Source organism: Homo sapiens, chromosome 8 (assembly GCF_000001405.40).
Source record: "Homo sapiens chromosome 8, GRCh38.p14 Primary Assembly".
Taxonomy (NCBI): Eukaryota; Metazoa; Chordata; class Mammalia; order Primates; family Hominidae; genus Homo; species Homo sapiens.
This window is the reverse complement of record NC_000008.11, coordinates 112,267,223-112,286,566: the sequence shown is the minus strand read 5'-3', so window position 1 is coordinate 112,286,566 and position 19,344 is coordinate 112,267,223. Positions and strand designations below refer to the sequence as shown.

The window sequence follows — 19,344 nt, the reverse complement described above, 5'->3', positions numbered from 1 at the left end:
TATGTGAATATGGTCTCTCACTCAAAATATCTTGTTGACTGTACTCACCCTTCTTCTTGTGATCTTTTGATCTGATAACTAAGGCAGATATTAGGTGACTGACGAGTGGATATCATATACAGGGTAGGTACCCTGGACAAGGGATGATTCACTTTCCATGTGGGACGACATGATATTTCATCATGCTACTCAGAACTTAAAATATATGGATTGGCTATTTCTGGAATTTTCCATATATTATTTTTAGACCATGATTGACCATGGCTAAGTGAAACTGTGGAAAGAATAGTAGATAAGGGGAGACTAGTGTACCTATATTGTAGAGACAAGAGAAAATGATAGGTTATTCTTACCCTAACATAACCTCAATGTCTGTCTTAGCTTCTAGTTTGTAGAAATGGAAAAATATAGAAACATACAGAAGTATTATTAAGATTTTTAATTGTAGAGTACAACTGTTAGTTACTAGAATTCACAACATCTAGGGTGTTTGAGTAAAATTTTAATTGTTCTGACTCAGAGTTAACATAATTAAATCTTTACAAGAGTGCCAGTTGTGGCTGAAGCCTGTAAACCCCACAATTTGGGACACTGAGGCAGGAGGATCACTTGAGGCCAGGAGTTTGAACCAGCCTGAGTAGGACCCAGCCTGAGACCACATCTCTACAAAAATCTTAAAAATTAGCCAGGTGTGGTGGCATATGCCTGTAGTCCTAGCGACTCCGGATGCTAAGGCAGGAGGATCACTGAGTCCAGGAGGCAGAGGCTGCAGTGAACCATGATTATGCCACTGCACTCTAGCCTAGGTGACAGAGCGAGACTCTGTTTAAAAAAAAAGAAAGATAAAAAGGAAAAAGAAAAATATTTTACAAAATTGACTAGTAAATAAAATGTTGCTAGAAAATTATTGTATTGACCTTAATTGTTCTTTTTGTGATTATTTTATTGGAAAAACTAAACTTGCAAAATATTTTTAAACTTACTTGACGTTGTACCAAACATATTGGTTTTGTAAATAGAAGATAATTCCCAATCAAACTTTCCTGAGGGTTTTTTGATTGACTATGTTATAGAAATATTTGATTATGTTTAATATTTATATTCTAGAAAAGATAGTTATCTTTTTGTAACTGGGTCAGTTTTAATAATCTTAAGAAGGAGTTGCAACTTAGTTGATATAGGGAAAAGACTTGGAAAACATAGTGCTGAGTAAAATACAGTAAGAGAGACTAAACTCTTTATTTCTCAAACTTATTTTCCAAAGTCAAGGTCTTTTTAATGATGCTGTGGGCATCATTATACATGCAACATTGTGTAGGTGACATCTAAGTCAGTCCTTTGTTCAGCTGACCTACAAAATATTTTATAGATGAAATGCAGACTTGTGCTGATATTGCTTTGTTAGCATGCATATTATGGATAAAAGGAGAACTATTAGTTGTAGCAAATACAATAGAATTAATATTTTTCTCATAAATGAAGCTGATACCAATCACTTACACAAACAGATTTTAGTAGACGAATGGATAAAGGATATGAACAGAAAGCAGAAATAAAAAAAAACTGTAACCTATAGAAAAAATTCAACAGAACTACTAATAAAAAATTATGATTAAATATTAAGGTATCATTTTCACCTATTTTAAACACGGTAATATAAAATTATTGTGTGCGGGAGCAGCAAAACTAGAACTTTAAAATATTTCAAGATGATTTTTATTGTTATATTTTGAGAGCAATTTGACAAAAATTGCTCTCAAACTGATAATGAATAGAATGATAAATATTCATGGGATATATCTATTGCTTCAGTTTATTACTCCACTTTTGTGGAATGTTTTCCAAGGAAAATAGAAATATTAAAGAGAACACACAATTATGAAAATGTAATTTTTATTTCTGTTTATAACTAGCAATAATTTGGAACAATCTTACACTAGGAAAAGTATTGCTTAAGCAATTTTATGTTTACATGATCTAATAGAGTATAGTCAATAAAATATTACGATATAGGCCATGAAGCAATATGAGAAAATGTACATTATATAAAACTTAGAAATAAGATTTAAAATTATGTGCTATATTAGAACCATGAGAAATGATATTCATTTAAGTGAAAGTATGAAAGGAAATACACAAAAAAATAATACTAGGACAGAGTTGTGAAATTATTGGTATTTTTACTCTTTATTCCAAATGTTTTCTATTGCTGTCATATTACTTTAATAATTTATAATAAAACATGAAAGGTATTTTCAGAATGTGAAGGATAAAGCACATGTAAAAATAAAAATATTAAATAATGTGTTTAAGTGACTTCATTTAATCAATAGAGAAATGCAAATTTGAAGAATGTAACATTTTTGACAAACTGAGATTCTTTTAAATGATGGCAAATGGTGTTACATAGGAGGTGTGAACACAAGCAAAGTTTTATGCTATCAATACAAGTGTGTATTGTTATAATATCTTTAGTGGTTCTGTGGCAATATATTTCAAACAAGTTAAATTTTTAATGTTTTAGGTATTTTTTATTGATACATAATTTTACATATTAATGGGGCACATGTGATATTTTGTTACATGCATAAATGTGTAATGATCCAGTCAGAATATTTATGATATCCATCACCACAAGCATTTATTATTTCTATGTGTTGATAATATTTCAGGTCCTCACTTCTAGCTATTTTGAAATGTACAATACACTGTTGTTAATTACAGTCACCCTACTAAAATATGATCCAGAAATTATTTTAGATATTTATCTTAAACATAGAACTAATGTACAGAGTTGTAAATATAAGTTCTAGTATGTTATATCTAAAAATCATAGAAAAATAAAACCAAGCCTAACTAAATGTTTTTCAACAGGGAATTGGTTAGGTAAATTATTAACTGTATGGAAAACCATACAGTTACTAAACTTTATGATAGAAAGATACCTTAATTGTAATTTTATGTAAGAAAAATAGAAATAAAAAAGAGTAAATTAATATTTCACTGTTGTATACTCTATACCTAACACAAAGCATAGAATATTGAAATAATTATATTCATATTAATACATAATCATATACACATATGCATATATAAATATCAATTTCTATTTTTCAGTGGTGGAATTTTAAGCAATCTTTACTTTCTTCCTTATACTTCTTTTTGTCATTTTAGAAATGACTACTTATTACTTTGATACAAGGAAACAAATGGTACCATGATTTTTAAAATAAGAGTTCTCTCTAGCAACAAAAGAAAGGCAAACATATAAAATATACTTCCTATAAAGATGCATCACAAAAAAAAATTCAATTTACAAACATGTATTATGTTTCAGCTTATTTCCTACCCTGAATATGATTCAATGCTTTTATTGTATGCTATCAGCATCATTCCTAGGAATTTGTACTAGATGAACAATCTGCTATTAACTAGCTTTGTGAGATTGGGCAAGTTACTTAATCTTTCTGTGCCTCACTTTCCTATTAAGAAATGGTGGTGATGTTAATACTAACTCAGAACATTTTTGTGAGAAGTAAATAATTTTGGAAAAGTTGTGGCTGTGACATATTAAGTGCTTAATGAATCTAAAAAAATAGTAACTCTCATTTTTATTAGATTATGTCTGTTGACTGCTGGGAAATGACTCTTGTGAGAAGAGATGGTTTGGTTGACTAGTACTAAATGTAAATGCAGGTTTATTCACAGGCAACAATAAATCATTTTTCTCCTAAATGTCAATATTGCAGAGGCAAAGTAGTTGCTGTTTCCTTTCATTGTATCCAGCAAGCTTTAAGCCTTCACTCATGATAGATGACGCACTTACCTTGTTTCATTTTAAGTTAATTTTACTTGTGCTTAGTTCAAATAAAATGTCTGGATAGGAGAAATTTGTGTATTAGGTGTGGAGGAATTAAAGTCAAGAGAACAGAAACAACAGTACGATTTGGCCATATCTTGAAACCACCCTGACTAAAGAAATTCTTGATTTTTATTGTGCAGAAATTTGACTCTGCCTAGGTCTCTATTTCAAAATAAAAATTACATGACATTTTAAAAGATGACATTATCTCAAATCCTTCTTGCATTACGTCAAGCTATGGATCATGATATATAACAAGTAAACATGGCCAAAATTTTATTTCAGGCAGGCACTAATGCATTTAGAAGAAAGTAATCATGCTTAACAACAAAGTAAAAATGTCTGTTTTATCATAGGTTCTGCTTAAAATATTATCTAGAGTTTGATTTTTATGTATATATGTAAAATGGATAAGGTTCTTGCCTACACATGCATACACACACATACGCGCATGCACACACACACACACACACGGCAGTTATACAAATGATAGGCAAAAAGAAATATTTAAGATGCAGCAAGAGATGCAGATGGTATTTTCTGAAATTATAATCATATTTCATATCCATAAAAGCCTTCACTTCTGTAAGGTACTAAAATGCCTTCTGATATTACAAGAAAATTAAGTATTACGTTTGATATATTATAGCTTTTAAGTCAGATAGTTTAAAAATTAACATATTGTTGACAAATAGTTAAACACATATATAAAATAGTTAATCATAAAAAGACATTCGTGTTTGTAACTTTTATTTAGAATATATTGAAACTTAATGAAAACGATTACTAATATTTAATTACTTTGTTTTTACTCGGTTTAGTTTTGGTACTCTGGTCTAGAAATAGAATTTATACATTTTAATGCAAAACAGTTATGTACTTATACAAACAAAAATATACATAGATGCTTACAATATTAAAATTGTGTATCTGTCTTTTCTGAAATATAAATGTAATAAATCTCTGTTGCATCTCATCACTCATTGTTACATGTCTTCCAATTTTACATGAGTTGCTTTTTAGACAGAGATTCTTATAATCCTTCTCTAAAAGATTTTGTGGTACCTGAAGCCAATACAGTACTCTTTGAATAATTATTTTACTCTGTAGAGTTTTTACTGAAGCTGCTAAAAAAAGTCTTAAGAAAATGTTATAATTTGCATCCCAGTAATTAAGCGAATAAAATCAACATACATTCATCTTGAATTTCAACTACCTAGATACTTTACTACTTATTTTAGAAGTTTTTATTGCTTCTTTGAATAATTTGAAAGAATCGTTTAGTCATTAACTTTTTTGGGAAGAATTTCTGATTGCATTTTTTATATATACTCTTAAACACTTTGTTTTATAGCTGTGCAGTGTGGTAACCCAGGAACCACAGCCAATGGGAAAGTCTTCCGAATTGATGGCACAACATTTTCTAGTTCAGTCATTTATTCCTGCATGGAGGGATACATCCTTTCTGGACCTTCAGTTAGACAGTGCACAGCCAATGGAACATGGTCTGGAACTTTACCTAACTGTACAAGTAAGTATATTCTCAATATTTAAAAATCAGTAATTATATGAAAGTATTGATGAGTATATAAGTATTTTTGTGTGTTTTGTAATTAATAAAACCATGTAAGGTTTTAACTGTTTGTACTGCCTTTCAGATTAAAGGATTATAGTAGTTACCATGGCTGAGTGTATACTAATGACTTTAGGATAAGTTGGCTTATCAAGGTACTACATTAACTGGCAGCAGAAAGAGAGGTCAGAGGAAGTCAGCACTAATAAATGTAATTTAACAGAATTTTAAGAACAATGATGATTTATAGCTGCAATTAAAATTAAAAATAGAATGGATGCAATTTTATTTTGTCAATATAACACATATTAATAACAAAATTGATTTTTAAAAGGCATACTGATTCTTTATGGGTTCTTGCACTGTCGTAGTGAGTCTCGATAACTGATTTGCTCTCTTGTTATGTTAAAAATAGATGGCACTTTGGAGATTCTGCATTATAATAAAATTACTCCCTTGAAGAAATTTTTGAAAAATGTGTTTAAAAGTCTTAAAATTATACACATTATTGCTTATTTATAAAATAAATAGTATTTAACCAACAATAATACACAACCATTGGAAATTATGGTTATTTTCATTAAGAAGAATTAGCACTTTTGGAGGCTGAGATGTGTAGATCGCTTGAGCCCAGGAGTTTGAGATCACCCTGGGAAACATGGCAAAAACCCTGTCTCTACAAAAAATACAAAACTTAGTCAAGTGTGGTGGTGCATGCCTGGAGTCCCAGGTACTCAGGAGGCTGAGATGAGAGGATCACCTGAGCCCAGGAGGTCAAGGATGTAGTGAACTCCGAATGTAACACTGCACTACAGCTTGGGTGACAGAGTGAGACCCTGTCTCAAAAGAAAATTGTTTAGACTGTGTGTTCATGGATTCTAAGTATCATGAGAGGATGTTGCTGAAGCCTCTGTAGCAAAGGAGACTTGGGGATACTAGTGGGAGGGCCTTTTGTATTGCAGTTTGGACAGAGTATATATACTTTTGCTGACCAAATAATTATCAGAAAATTAACTGAGAAGGCATGGCCTTGTATTGTGTGGGTGAGATAATCCCCTTTTATTTCTGGGCTCCTTTTTGTTTGCATTTTCTGGATGAATGGGTCAAATGAATTTGTTGCCCTCAAAATAATGGCATACATGCATTCCTGGAGAAAATCAGTTGTAGTTAATATATTGCATGCAAAGTTTGTGTGCAATGTCACACAAGGGCTGTTGAGATACCCACGTATATTTTGTCTCTTCAAAAGTGAAAACAAACTATGCTTGGGAAGCTGTTGAAATAAGTACTGAATAGAACATATTCACTAAACCTATAATAGCAAAATATTTTCCAGTTATTGATAGGAACCAACAACTTCAGTAATATTGATATGGAGGTCTTAATCAGGGGCATCAGGGTATTTAGGCTGTGGTAATCAACTTTCCCATGCCAATTATTTTTTATCAGGTTTAAACACTGAACAAATTGGACTATTTAAAGGGAAGGCAGTAGGAACAATAGTTGTTTCCTTCAGTAGGTGTTATATGATGGTTCTTAATTACTGTAGACCTTGTTTTAATCTAAGTTGGGCTGTATTAACTATTGTAATTAGAAGGACAGGTCCAAGGGGCTCCATTTTACCAAGCTGATTGTAAATGCCAGATAATTAATATTAATTTATTACTAATTGGTTCAAAATGTCCGTATCAGGTGCTATAGGTCAATGGGCACTCTGACCACAAGGAATTTAGGCAAAGCAACAGTTTCAATGTTTAAGGTGAGACATACATGTTTGCCTTCTGTTTTGTGTTTGGTAACTCCTCTAAAGTACAGGATATACCTTGTACATTCAGTGGTATCTCCTCATATAACTGTAATTTGAGGCCCAGTATCTATGAAGACCACAAAGATTTTTCAAGTACTACATATCAGAATCTGTTCATTTAAAACCCATATTGTGGAGATGTGAAATCCAATTCTGTTATTTTATCTTTCTGTTGAATAACTATTTTAGAAAAATTTGTATTTTCAATTGAGTCCAGTTGTGGATCTTTATTTCAATTTTTGTTTCTTCTCCCTGTATCCTAGTGTTTTGTTGTTGTTGTTGTTGTTGTTGTTGTTGTTGTTGTTGTTGTTTTTTGGGGGTGGAGTTACAGGATACGCTTCAGGAAGAAGGGCAATCTTCTCTACTCTGTCCTTATTTATATGTATCTTCCTCCAGAGAGTTCCAAATCATTATTTTAAATGTTGGGGGTCTCCCACAGGGCAGTTGTTATTGGGTTTAGGGACTCCAGGCTTAAGTCAGGTTTGAATTAAGCCCACAGCTGTGCTATGAGATGATATGGGTGTTCTTCCCTGAGAACCAGAATCTTTTTGATGACAGACACATAGACAGTAGCAACAACAACGAAGGTTGTTTTAGATACCTAAAGCCATCTGAGTTTAGGTATGGACTGGAGGACACCACATGGTGACCACTCCTTGTCAGATAGGCAAGCATTGGATAAGCATACTTATTGCACAGTGTGCCAGCCTTTCCCCTGAGCACTCTATAGAATGGGAGTCAACACCTGCTTGAGACACATAACCAATAGTCATAGAGTAAGACATTCATCTGAGCCTAGCATCATTCATGGCTTGCACTAAATTTGAGACATATGATTAAATCTAAGACACACAGATAAGTCTAAGCTGAGAGGCACAGAACTCAGAATCACTTTGGGAAGGACCACAAGCCAATACTCCTGTCTCTGAATGTCAATTTTCAATACTTCTGACTTAGATCTATCATTTAAATCTTGGCAGAGGCCAGAAAAGCTCAGAAAATGCATCAAAATCAGCACATCTCAAAGTGTAAGTACACTAGCACAGCACCAAGCACTCTCTAGCCAGGTGGCAGCAGAGCCAGTTATCAAGTCACAAACAACAACAAAAAAGTCCCTCAGGTAATGATAGTCATCCCTTGGGCCACCCTACTCACTGCCAGTTGCTCTGTGGTTGCCTAAGAAAGAGCATGATCAACTGCCCCCTCCCCAGAATTGGTTCCATATTGACTGATTATGCCACAAGGCTGAAGATGTCCCAAGAAGGTATGAAAGATTACCCACATGGTAAGACTCTCTTTGGTCAGAAATGGTTTGAGAGAAGGGATGGATGAATAGTGATATGGGTTGGCTGTGTCCCCACCCAAATCTCATCTTAGATTGTAGCTCCCATAATTCCCATGTGTTGTGGGAGGGACCCAGTGGGAGATAATTTAATCATGGGGCAGTTTCCCCCATACTGTTCTCGTGGTAGTGCTAAGTCTCATAAGATCTGATGATTTTATAAGGGGTGTCCCCTTTCACTTGGTTCTCATTCTCTCTTGACTGTCACCATGTAAGATGTGCCTTTCTCCTTCTGCTATAATTGTGAGGCCTCCCCAGCCACTTGGAACTGTGAGTCCATTAAATCTCTTTTTCTTTATAAATTACCCAGTCTTGGGTATGTCTTTTTCAGCAGTGTGAAAGCAGACTAATACAGTAAATTGGTACTGGCAGTTGGGTGCTGCTGTAAAGATACCCCAAAATGTAGAAGTGGCTTTGGAACTGAGTAATAGGCAGAGGTTGGAACAGTTTGGAGGGCTCAGGAGAAGACAGAAAAATGTGGGAAAGTTTGGAACTTCCTAGAGACTTGTTGAATGGCTTTGAGCAAAATGCTGATAATGATATGGACAATGAAATCCAGGCTGAGATAGTTTCAGATGGAGATGAGGAACTTGTTGGAAACTGGAGTAAAGGTGACTCTTGCTACGTTTTAGTAAAGAGACTGGCAGCATTTTGCCCTTGCCCTAGAGATTTGTGGAACTTTGAACTTGAGGGAGATGATTTACGGTATCTGGTGGAAGAAATGTCTAAGCAGCAAAGCATTCAGGAGGTGATTCAGGTGCTGTTAAAAAGCATTCAGTTTTAAAAGGGAAATAGAATATAAAAGTTCAGAAAATTTGCAGCCTGGCAATGCAATAGTAAAGAAAAACCCATTTTCTGAGAAGAAATACAAGCTGGCTGTAGAAATTTGTGAAAGTAATGAGGAGCCAAATGTTAATTGCCAAAACAATAGGAAAAATGTCTCCAGAGCACAAGAGAGAAGTCTGTGGCAGCTCCTCCCATCACAGGCCTGGAGGTCTAGGAGGAAAAAATGGTTTTGTGAGTCAAACCCAGGGCCTTCCTGCTGTGTGCAGTCTAGGAACTTGGTGCCCTGCATCCCACCCATGGCTAAAGGGACCAAGGTATGGCTCAGGCTGTGGCTTTGGAGTGTGCAAGCCCCAAGCCTTGGCAGCTTCCATGTGGTGTTGAGGCTGCAGGTGCACAGAAGTCAAGAATTGAGGTTTTGGAACATCTACCTAGATTTCAAATGATGTATGGACATGCCTGTACGTCCAGGCAGAAGTTTGCTGCAGGAGTGGGGTCTTCAAGGACTTGTACACTCTGAAGTCATGGCCTGAGCTGTACCTTGACCCCTTTAGCCATGGCTAGAGTGGCTTGGATGCAGGGCACCAAATTCCTAGACTGCACACAGTAGGAAGGCCCTGGGTCTGACCCATGAAACCGTTTTTTCCTCCTAGACTTCCAGGCCTGTGATGGGAGGAGCTGTCACAGAGTTCTGTTATGCCCTGGGGACATTTTCCCCATTATCTTGGTGAAGAGAAACATGGGGTTGGAGCCCCTACACAGAGTCTGCACTGAGGCACTGCCTAGTGGAGCTGTGAGAAGAGGGTCACTGTCCTTCATACTCCAGAAAGGGAGATACATCGACAACTTGTAACATGTGCCTGGAAAAGTCACAGTTACTCAATGCCAGCCTGTGAAAGCAGGTGAGAGGGAGGCTGTACCTGCAAAGCCACAGGGGTGGAGCTGCCCAAGATGATGGGAACCCATCTCTTGCATCAGTGACCTGGATGTGAGACATGTAGTCACAGAAGATTATTTTGGAGCTTTAAGGTTTGACTGCCTTGCTGGATTTTGGACTTGTGTGGGGCCTGTAGCCCCTTCATTTTGGCCAATTTCTCCCATTTGGAACAGCTATTATCCAATGCCTGTACCCCCATTGTATCTAGGAAGTAACTAACTTCCTTCTGATTTTATAGGTTCATAGGTGGAAGTACTTGTCTTGTGTCAGATGAGGTTTGGGACTATGGACTTTTGAGTTAATACTGAAATGAGTTAAGACTTTTGGGAACTATTGGGAAGGCATGATTTGTTTTGAAGTGTGAGGATATGAGATTTGTGAGGGGCCACGCTTGGAATAATATGGTTTGGCTGTAGCCCCAACCAAATCTCATCTTTAATTGTAACTCCCATAATTTCGACATTTTGTGGGAGGGACCCAGTGAGAGATAATTGAATCATGGAGGTGGTTTCTCCCATACTTGTCTCATGTAGTGAATAAGTCTCACAAGATCTGATGATTTTATAAGAGGTTTCCACTTTTGCTTGGTTCTCATTCTTTCTTGCCTGCCACCATGTAAGATGTGCCTTCCACCTTCTGCCATGATTGTGAGACCTCCCTAGCCACTTGGAACTGTGAGTCCATTAAACCTCTTTTTCTTTTTTTTATTCTTTTTGAGATGGAGTTTCGCTCTTGTTGCCCAGGCTGGAGTGCAATGGTGCAATTTTGGCTCACTGCAACCTCTGCCTCCTGGGTTCAAGTGATTCTCCTGCCTCAGCTTCCTGAGTAGTTGGGATTACAGACACCCACCACCATGCCTGGCTAATTTTGTATTTTTAGTAGAGACAGGGTTTCGCCATGTTGATCAGGCTGGTCTTGAACTCCTGACATCAGGTGATCCGTCTGCCTCGGCCTCCCAAAGTGCTGGGGTTACAGGCGAGAGCCACCGTGCCCAGCCTAAACCTCTTTTTCTTTATAAATTATCCAGTCTCAGGTACGTCTTTATCAGCAGTGTGAAAAATGTACTTATACATATAGTTTTGCTTTTTTTTTTATTGTGGTTAGTGGTTGGGAACTTGGGAAAAGTTCTAGTGAGTGTGCCAGGGTTTGCATGGTTTGAACTTCCCTGCTGATGCCAAATGAGGAAGCAAGCCGACTTTCTTGTTGGCTTGCCCAGATGTGGAGTAGAAGGGGAATGGGGAGGTAGAACTTGAAGCATCAAAAGGTTCTTTATGCAAATGCTCTTGTAGTCAAACATTTTACTTAGTCAATGTTACAAACACCAAAACACCACGCAGCGTAGTTAAACAACTTTAATTAGTCAACTATTTCTTCAAGAGATTTAAATAGTAAGACAAATCTTATTTATGTACGTCATTACTACTTCAAGTGTTGTAATATTTTTGTGTAGATACATACTTGCATGAGGTATTATTTTTCTTCCACTGGAAGGACTTCTTTAAATTTGTCTTGTGGTCCATTTCTACTTATGATAATGTTTTCAGCTTTTCTTTGTGTGCATATGTTTCATTTCACCTTTTAAAATACATATTTTTGCTGGGTATAGAATTCTGTATGACAAGTGGCATTCCTGGCCCCATGTCAGCTCCAGATATTGTTACATCTCATCTTTTGGGGTAGTTTTTTCTCAAACCATGGGCAGTTTCCTCAGGAGCTGATCAGAAATCTGCTGACTGTTTAAGGAGTTTCCTTCCTATATCTCTAGAGACATTTCTCTGTCAATGTCGACTCTGGTACCATGTCCCATAAACTCTACCTGCATAGTTTTCTCTTGACTCTCAGATCCATCTTCTCAACTCAAGGAGTCTGCTGGGCTATGCATAGCTTCCTCTTCCCTGTGCCACAGACTTGAAACTCTCTTAATGTAGTAAGATGAGGCAATCAGGGGATTCAACTAATTTGTTTCCTGTCACTCAAGAATCACTGTGCTTTGTTGCCTAATGTCCATTGTTTTGAAATATTTCTTTTTTTTAAATATACTCTTTCCTTTTTTTTTTTCTTTTGGTTCTTTCAGATGGAAGGTAAATTCTTCCTTGTTACTCCACGTTGAAGGAAAGCTGAATTCCTCTTACTTACTTAGAAAATATCTCATTTTTGCAATAGTGAACAACTTAACACTATCCCACCGTAGCCTTTAAAACTCTTATCCACCTTTTAAGTATCAGTTCATGTGAAACATTTGGCAAAACACCTCAAGACATTTTCTCCTCATATCCTTTTTAGCTAAAAGTAATCTCTCCATACTGTATAGCTTTTTTTTTTTTTTTGTATGTTACCTATACCACTAAACTGTAAACTTTATAGAGCAGTAATGACTGGGTCTGTTTATCTCACTGGCCCTTTATGGTGGAGCATAGCACCTGATGAATAAGAGCAACTCAGTAAATTGTTGGTGACAGACTTCAATAGACAAATTTTATTTTAGTTATCAGTATACATGATTTACCATTCCAACTCAATTTTTTTTTTTTTTTTTTGAGACAGAGTCTCACTCTGTCACCCAGGCTGGAGTGCAGTGGCATGATCTCGGCTCACTGCAAACTCCACCTACCGGGTTCACGCCATTCTCCTGCCTCAGCCTCCCAAGTAGCTGGGACTACAGGCGCCTGCCACCAAGCCTGGCTATTTTTTTTGTATTTTTAGTAGAGACGGGGTTTCACCGTGTTATCCAGGATGGTCTCGATCTCCTGACCTTGTGATCCACCCGCCTCGGCCTCCCAAAGTGCTGGGATTACAGGTGTGAGCCACCGTCCAACTCAATTTTAAACTACTTGCAGATAGGGCCTACAACTGTATGGCTAACATAGCACATAGGTTCTGGCATATAGTAAGTTTTCAATAATAGTCATTGAAGAGATTGAAATAATGAAAATAGTTCAGAGTAACAGAAATATGCTGAGGAACACTTTCATTTTTTTTTTACAATGAATAACAATTTTGTTTATTTATGGATAAATAACTCAATCTTTTATTTACAGCTGTCTTCCAATTTTAGTGAAATAAAAATAAATAAACATTCCTATTTTTGTGATTGAAAATTACATTGACATTTTTATTGAATTGTCTTCATTTTTCCTCAGGAATGTTAAATTATAAGTCATTTGATTCAAGACAGATTGATTATGAATAACATAGGAAAAGTATAAGGAAAGTTTGTTTCTGTCAGTTCTTCAAAGAGAAATATCGTATTGCATAAAATAATTTAAGTGTTAGCTTTTCAACAATGAATTGCTATTAAACTAAAAGCTGATAATTTGTAAGTTTATGTACTTCATAGGCAAAAAGTTACTAACACCCCATTAACAATCCAAACCAAAAGCGTAAATAAAAACCCCCAAAAAGAAACAAAGAGAGAGGTTTCAGTGGAAATTAAAACAGCCTAAACTTCTGTAATTAAAGAATCTAGCATAGTGATAGTGTTTATATGTGGTAATCAAATTAAATTAGAATCAGTGCTTCAGATTCCTTCTCATTCATTTGCAATGAACATAAATTTAAATATATGATTGGTAGAATCATATTATTTTGGGAATTGTCCTAGACTCACATTGTCTAGATCAAGAAACTCAGGCATCACGTATTTAGAGGGCTTCCTGACTACGGGCAGAGCTCAACACTAAACAATAATTTCATCTATATTTCACATATATAGATGAAATTTTCCATTCATGTTATTCTCTATACCCACTAGAAGGCTAATTTCAAGTGTAAATATGTTTTTAATAAATTTTGATGTGTTATAATTGCCTCTGTAGACACAATTTTTATGGTTACTATATGCCCAGACTATATAAATTTTATGGTTACTATAGGCCAGTTACTATATGAATTTGAAATAAATTATTTGATGTATGCCAGTTACTATATGAATTTGAATTAAATTAATGAGGTATGCAAAAAATTTGAAGTAGCTGAACTTTCCAAACCAACATCCTGATATCAATTTTTAGAAAACCCGAATGTCTTAGTCTATTTGTGCTGCTATAATAAAATTCCTGAGACAGGGTTAAATACTAAAGAACAAACATTTATTTCTCAAAATTCTGGAGGCTGAGAAGTCCAAGATCAAGGTGCTAGCAGATCCTGTGTCTGGTGAGGGCTACTTGTTGCTTCTAAGATGGCACCTTGCTTCTGTGTCCTCACATGACAAAAGGGGTGCATGTTACGCCCTGACTGGCAGAAGGTGAAAGAGCAAAAAGGGGCCTAGCTATTAATAGTTCCCTCCCACACTTTTAGAAGGCACTAACCTCATTCATGGGGAGAGGGCCCTCATGACTTAATAACTTCCCAAAGCCCCTACCTTTTAATACTATGGAATTGGGGATTAAATTAGCACATGAATTTTGAAGAGATATTAAAACCATAGCACTAAAGAAACAAAGCCTTTATTCTTTTCATGCTAATTATTACTATTTCTTCTCATAAATAATAGTATCTGTTATTGAGTGTTTACCATTTGTTCGGATTTGTGCTGATTTACATAATTATCTCAATTATTACAACAAATCTATGAGATATATACTGTTATCCTTTTTATTTCACATTCAAATAAATGGTTTCTTAGAGAGGAAACAACTTTCTTTTCCATGGTAACATAGCTAGTAACTGTAGAATGTAAGATTTAAACCCTAGTCTATTTCACTCAAGAATCCATGTTCTTTAGTATACTTTTATCTCTTCTTCTGTACTTTTCTCCATTTAGTTTTCTTGCTTTATTCTCTGTCTTCACTACAATGGTCAAATGTATATGACATACTATAATAAGTAGAACATTGGTGATAAGGCATATGAAAATGTCTCATTAATTTATGACCTATTTCTCTAAAAAATTTTTAATTTCTGTTTTCTCTGCATTTACCAATTTGAATTCTGCAAAATTATATCATTTCTTAATGAAACGACCATTTGTAAAATTTGTTTTTGCTAAACAATACTTCCAGTTTAACATTACAATTTCCTATTTATTTGTTATCAATGATATTTTTGTCAGATGTACAAAGCAAATATAATGTAAGTCAATAAATAAGTCTGCAGGTTTCACAAGAGATGAGATATTTTAATGTGATGAGTCAAAGCAAGTGAACAAGAGTGCTCGTTGAATCTTGTACATAATCATTGACAAAGAGGATCTAGTAGATTTATGACAATGTCAGTTCAAAGAAAGAAAATCAGCAAGATTGATTATATGATAGATATTTCAATGTAGGGTGATTTGAGAATGAAAGAATGAATAGAGGCCCTTGAGAAAATTAATAATACCCTTAAAATATAGTTAAACTATGTGGTAAAGACAAAATATAAAGACTTCAATTTTATTTGGATTTCTTTTTACTTTTTAATTATAAGATTTTGGTCACTTTAAGAGGTTTTTGTTTTTTACCTTGGCTAGTTATCTTTGGGCACTTAGTTCCTCCTGAGTAATGACAAATCAGAGGAATAATCCAATTTTTAGCTTTTCAAAAATCTTTAACTTATATTAGAGCATGTTTTCTTACAAAAACCTTTAAAAACAAAGTAGAAACATAACTGTGAGTATACAATGGAACTGGATTTTTTATAGATTCAGTTAATAAAAAATCATTTAAACAAAACCTACTATCATTGGGCACTTTGCTAGGAACTGAGAAGACAGAGTTCAGTCGGTAAGGTATCTGCTCCCTAATATTTCACAGATCAGTGAAGTAACTTTGGAATTCCAAGCATTTTTGACCTTTGAGAATTTCCTTTGAGAATTTTACCTTTGAGAATTTCCCACTGGAGTTATTTGCAACTATACCTTTTCATTTGCTCTATTGTCCAGCAGTAACACACACACACACACACACACACACACACACACACACACACACACACACACACTCACCCCTCTGTTTTTTAGAAATTCTAGTTCAATTATATGTGGAAATGTGTCAGCTGTGATTTGCCTTGTTCATTTCAATGATTTTAGAAACATCTTTGGAATAAATGTGATTTAATAATAATGGTAAGGTCTCCAATCCCCTATGCTTGGCCATAGTAGAGATGTTGGTAAAAGCATAAACTTTTACTCATCTAAATTCTACCTGCTGTTATTCAACCGGCTTCAGACTATACGTGAGTTGGAAAATTGCAAGTCTAATTAATCTATCTCTAAAAGTATGCCTCATAAGCAAAATCTTTTCCCTTTTCCCAACACTCATTGTTTCTAACTCCAGACATGTCCTCATTAAGCCCACTACCAGTGGTGGAAGGAGAAGTTTCCTCAGAATAACTAGTTGCCTCCTGGGTGGGTAAAATATTGTATCTTGAAATCAAGATCATGCATTAAAATGTTATGCACACTTTGACAGAGGGATTATAAGTGTGAAGAAACATGCACAGAGCTAACCAAACTAGAAGAAAAAGATATTTGGCATAATACCAGATCGCTCAAATCAATTCCTTGATTTAAAATGTAGTGAAGTTATTTTCTATGATGTTCAGACAGAGAGAGAAGATATAATAAGTACATGTAATTACTCTTTCAAAATTACATTTTTTTGTCAGTACAAAATGTTTTGGGATATTAATTATAAGGGGATCCTTAGCTTTCAATGTCTAACAGGCAGTACCACCTCTGTTACCTAGAGCCCATCATACACAGAGTGCATATGGTGTTTTGGGAAGAAGACACAAACAGTGCTGAGACAGGGCTTGCCAAGTAGAGTAAGAATTAGCTTTCTGGTCTGAAAAGACATGTGCTTATTCATTTTCTTGGATGATATTTTTAGAAAACTGACTGGACTTCTGCGTCCAAAAGGACCAACCCCCAACATCCTGCATCTGGGAAGTCTTGTTCCTTTGGGCTAAGGACACCATCTTTAATCAGGTCCAGGTGATAAATGAATCTAAGGCTTCCTTTTCCAAATAGCCACCTATCGAAATGCCCCTGACTGAATTTTTGTCACAAATCTGAAAATTCTCAAAGATGTTTTTCTAACAGAGGACAGATCAGGAAGATGGGGTTAGTCTTACAAAAGAGAGGGCTGGGGATATCCCAGCATAAAACTGAGCGCAGATAAAAAATAATCTAAATCTCCTCAAGGAGTGAGAGCTATTCCTCAGCACAGTGGTTCTCAACTAGAGAGGATTTTGCTTCCCAGGGGACATTTGGAAATGTTTGAAGATACTTTTTGATTGTCACAGTGCAGGGGCAGGGGGTGCTTTTGGATCTAGCAGGCAGATGCCAGAGATATATTGCAGAACATTCTACAATGCACAGAGCAGCCCCTCACAACGAAGAATTGTTTGACTGAAAATGTCAATAGGGTCAAGCTTAAGGTAGAGAAACCCTGCCTTTTGAGATCTAAAGAAGAAACCAACTTTTTGAATGTGGAGATTGTGTAAAATCAGAAGCATTATGAGAGGAATGGTTTAGCCATTCTTTCTGGAACTTCATTTTGCTACAGTAGAACTCTGTTCTGGGCTTGAAGCTAGAAGTATGGCAGAGCACATACATATGTAATGATGCTCAAGCAAGCATTTTCGTTGCTGCATTGTCTGTAACAGAAAAGCAGTGGAATAACTCAAACACCAGTCCATAGGTCTTTGGTTGCATAAATTATATTGCATGGGATTAATATGCCATTAAAAATGTTATGCATGTCTATGTATATTAATAGTTACATGCAAAAATATCCATTAGATATTGAATAAAAAAGTGAATCCTGTGAAAAAAGTAATGTGACTTTATTTTATTTTAAAATGCACATTTACAATGCTTGTATAAGAAGTTAAAAGAGAAAGTAGTTTTAAAGCGGCATAGATTGACTAGAATTACCACAATTATGTTTTATTTGTAGCATAGAGGTTATTTACTTAGATTTATCATAAATGATGCCAGATGGGCATCAATTACATATTGAGAAGCCTCCCACAAAACAAATTCAGACCTTTCAAATAATTTATGTGTTTTTGAGAATTTGAGCTGACAACTTAATGATTCCTTTATGTACTCATTCATTTATTTATCCTTCAAACAAATATTTAATCTCTTATGATGAGTCATACACTAGATGAGACTCTTAAGAAAATAGCATACAAGAGTCAAAGTATCTGCCTTTATGGAGTTTATTGGTGTGTTTGTGTGAGAGAGATGGGTATTTAAGAAGGTCAATGATCTTCTTATTATGCAATGGTATTTCTGAATTTGTTGTCATACAATGATATCGCTGAATTTTAGGGTGAAGCACTAAAGAGCTACTATTCTAAGGTTTTTTTCCTGAAAAAACCAAAAGCCTTTTTTTTTTTGGTTGTCTCTGAAAACAAGCTGGTAGTGAATGAATTGACTTGCAGAGCAGGTGCTGTTTACAAAGACTGTTGCTCTTGGAAACTGCCTCTTTGACTAGCCTTTGCTTCATTAGGAAGTCACCAAACAAACCCTTCTAAAGCTTTTGTTGTCACGCATTTCATTCATGGTGGTGCCATGATGTGCAGAACTCTTTCTTCGTGCATCTGTAAAATAAACGCTCTGTCCTCTCTTTTGGTGGCCGCATCTCAGCTCATGTGCCCTGTGACCAGGCTGGCTATTTCTCCTTGCCAAGATTCTAATGCAGTCTGGAAAGCACTGCCCAGAAAACAACAACACTTTATAGGTGTTCTCTTTAATTTCCTCTTCCTAATTAAAAATCTTGGTTATAAATATAAAATAAAATAAAATAATAAATTGAAGGCTTATACTCATTTTTACATTCTTGTAAATTTTTAAACTATAAAAAGAGATGACGTATTGTCGGTACATGAGTAGAATTATTTGATTTTCTATCCAACTCAGTTGTATCATTAAAAAAAATCTTTTTACTCCCCAATAATCATAGGAAGGAAAGCAGTCCTGAATATAAAACTCTATTATTATTGAGAAAGAAACACTCAAACAGTTTAATTTCATCGAACTGTTTTAAGGGCTCCAAAAGTTATGAGGTTGAATGCTCTGAATGATGTTGTTTAATTTAAATGCCATTAT

General features: G+C 35.2%; 1 protein-coding gene across 10 annotated transcripts in view; it reads left to right on the top strand.

The window, feature by feature from the left end:
- Window positions 1-19,344, top strand: part of CSMD3 (CUB and Sushi multiple domains 3) — a 1,214,012-nt gene that overhangs the window by 1,150,373 nt on the left and 44,295 nt on the right. For all 10 annotated transcript variants that reach the window (NM_001363185.1, XM_017013010.2, NM_052900.3 and 7 more), the window contains one exon: window positions 5,217-5,393. In NM_001363185.1, coding sequence (NP_001350114.1) covers window positions 5,217-5,393 — 177 coding nt within the window. The remainder of the gene's footprint in view (window positions 1-5,216; window positions 5,394-19,344) is intronic.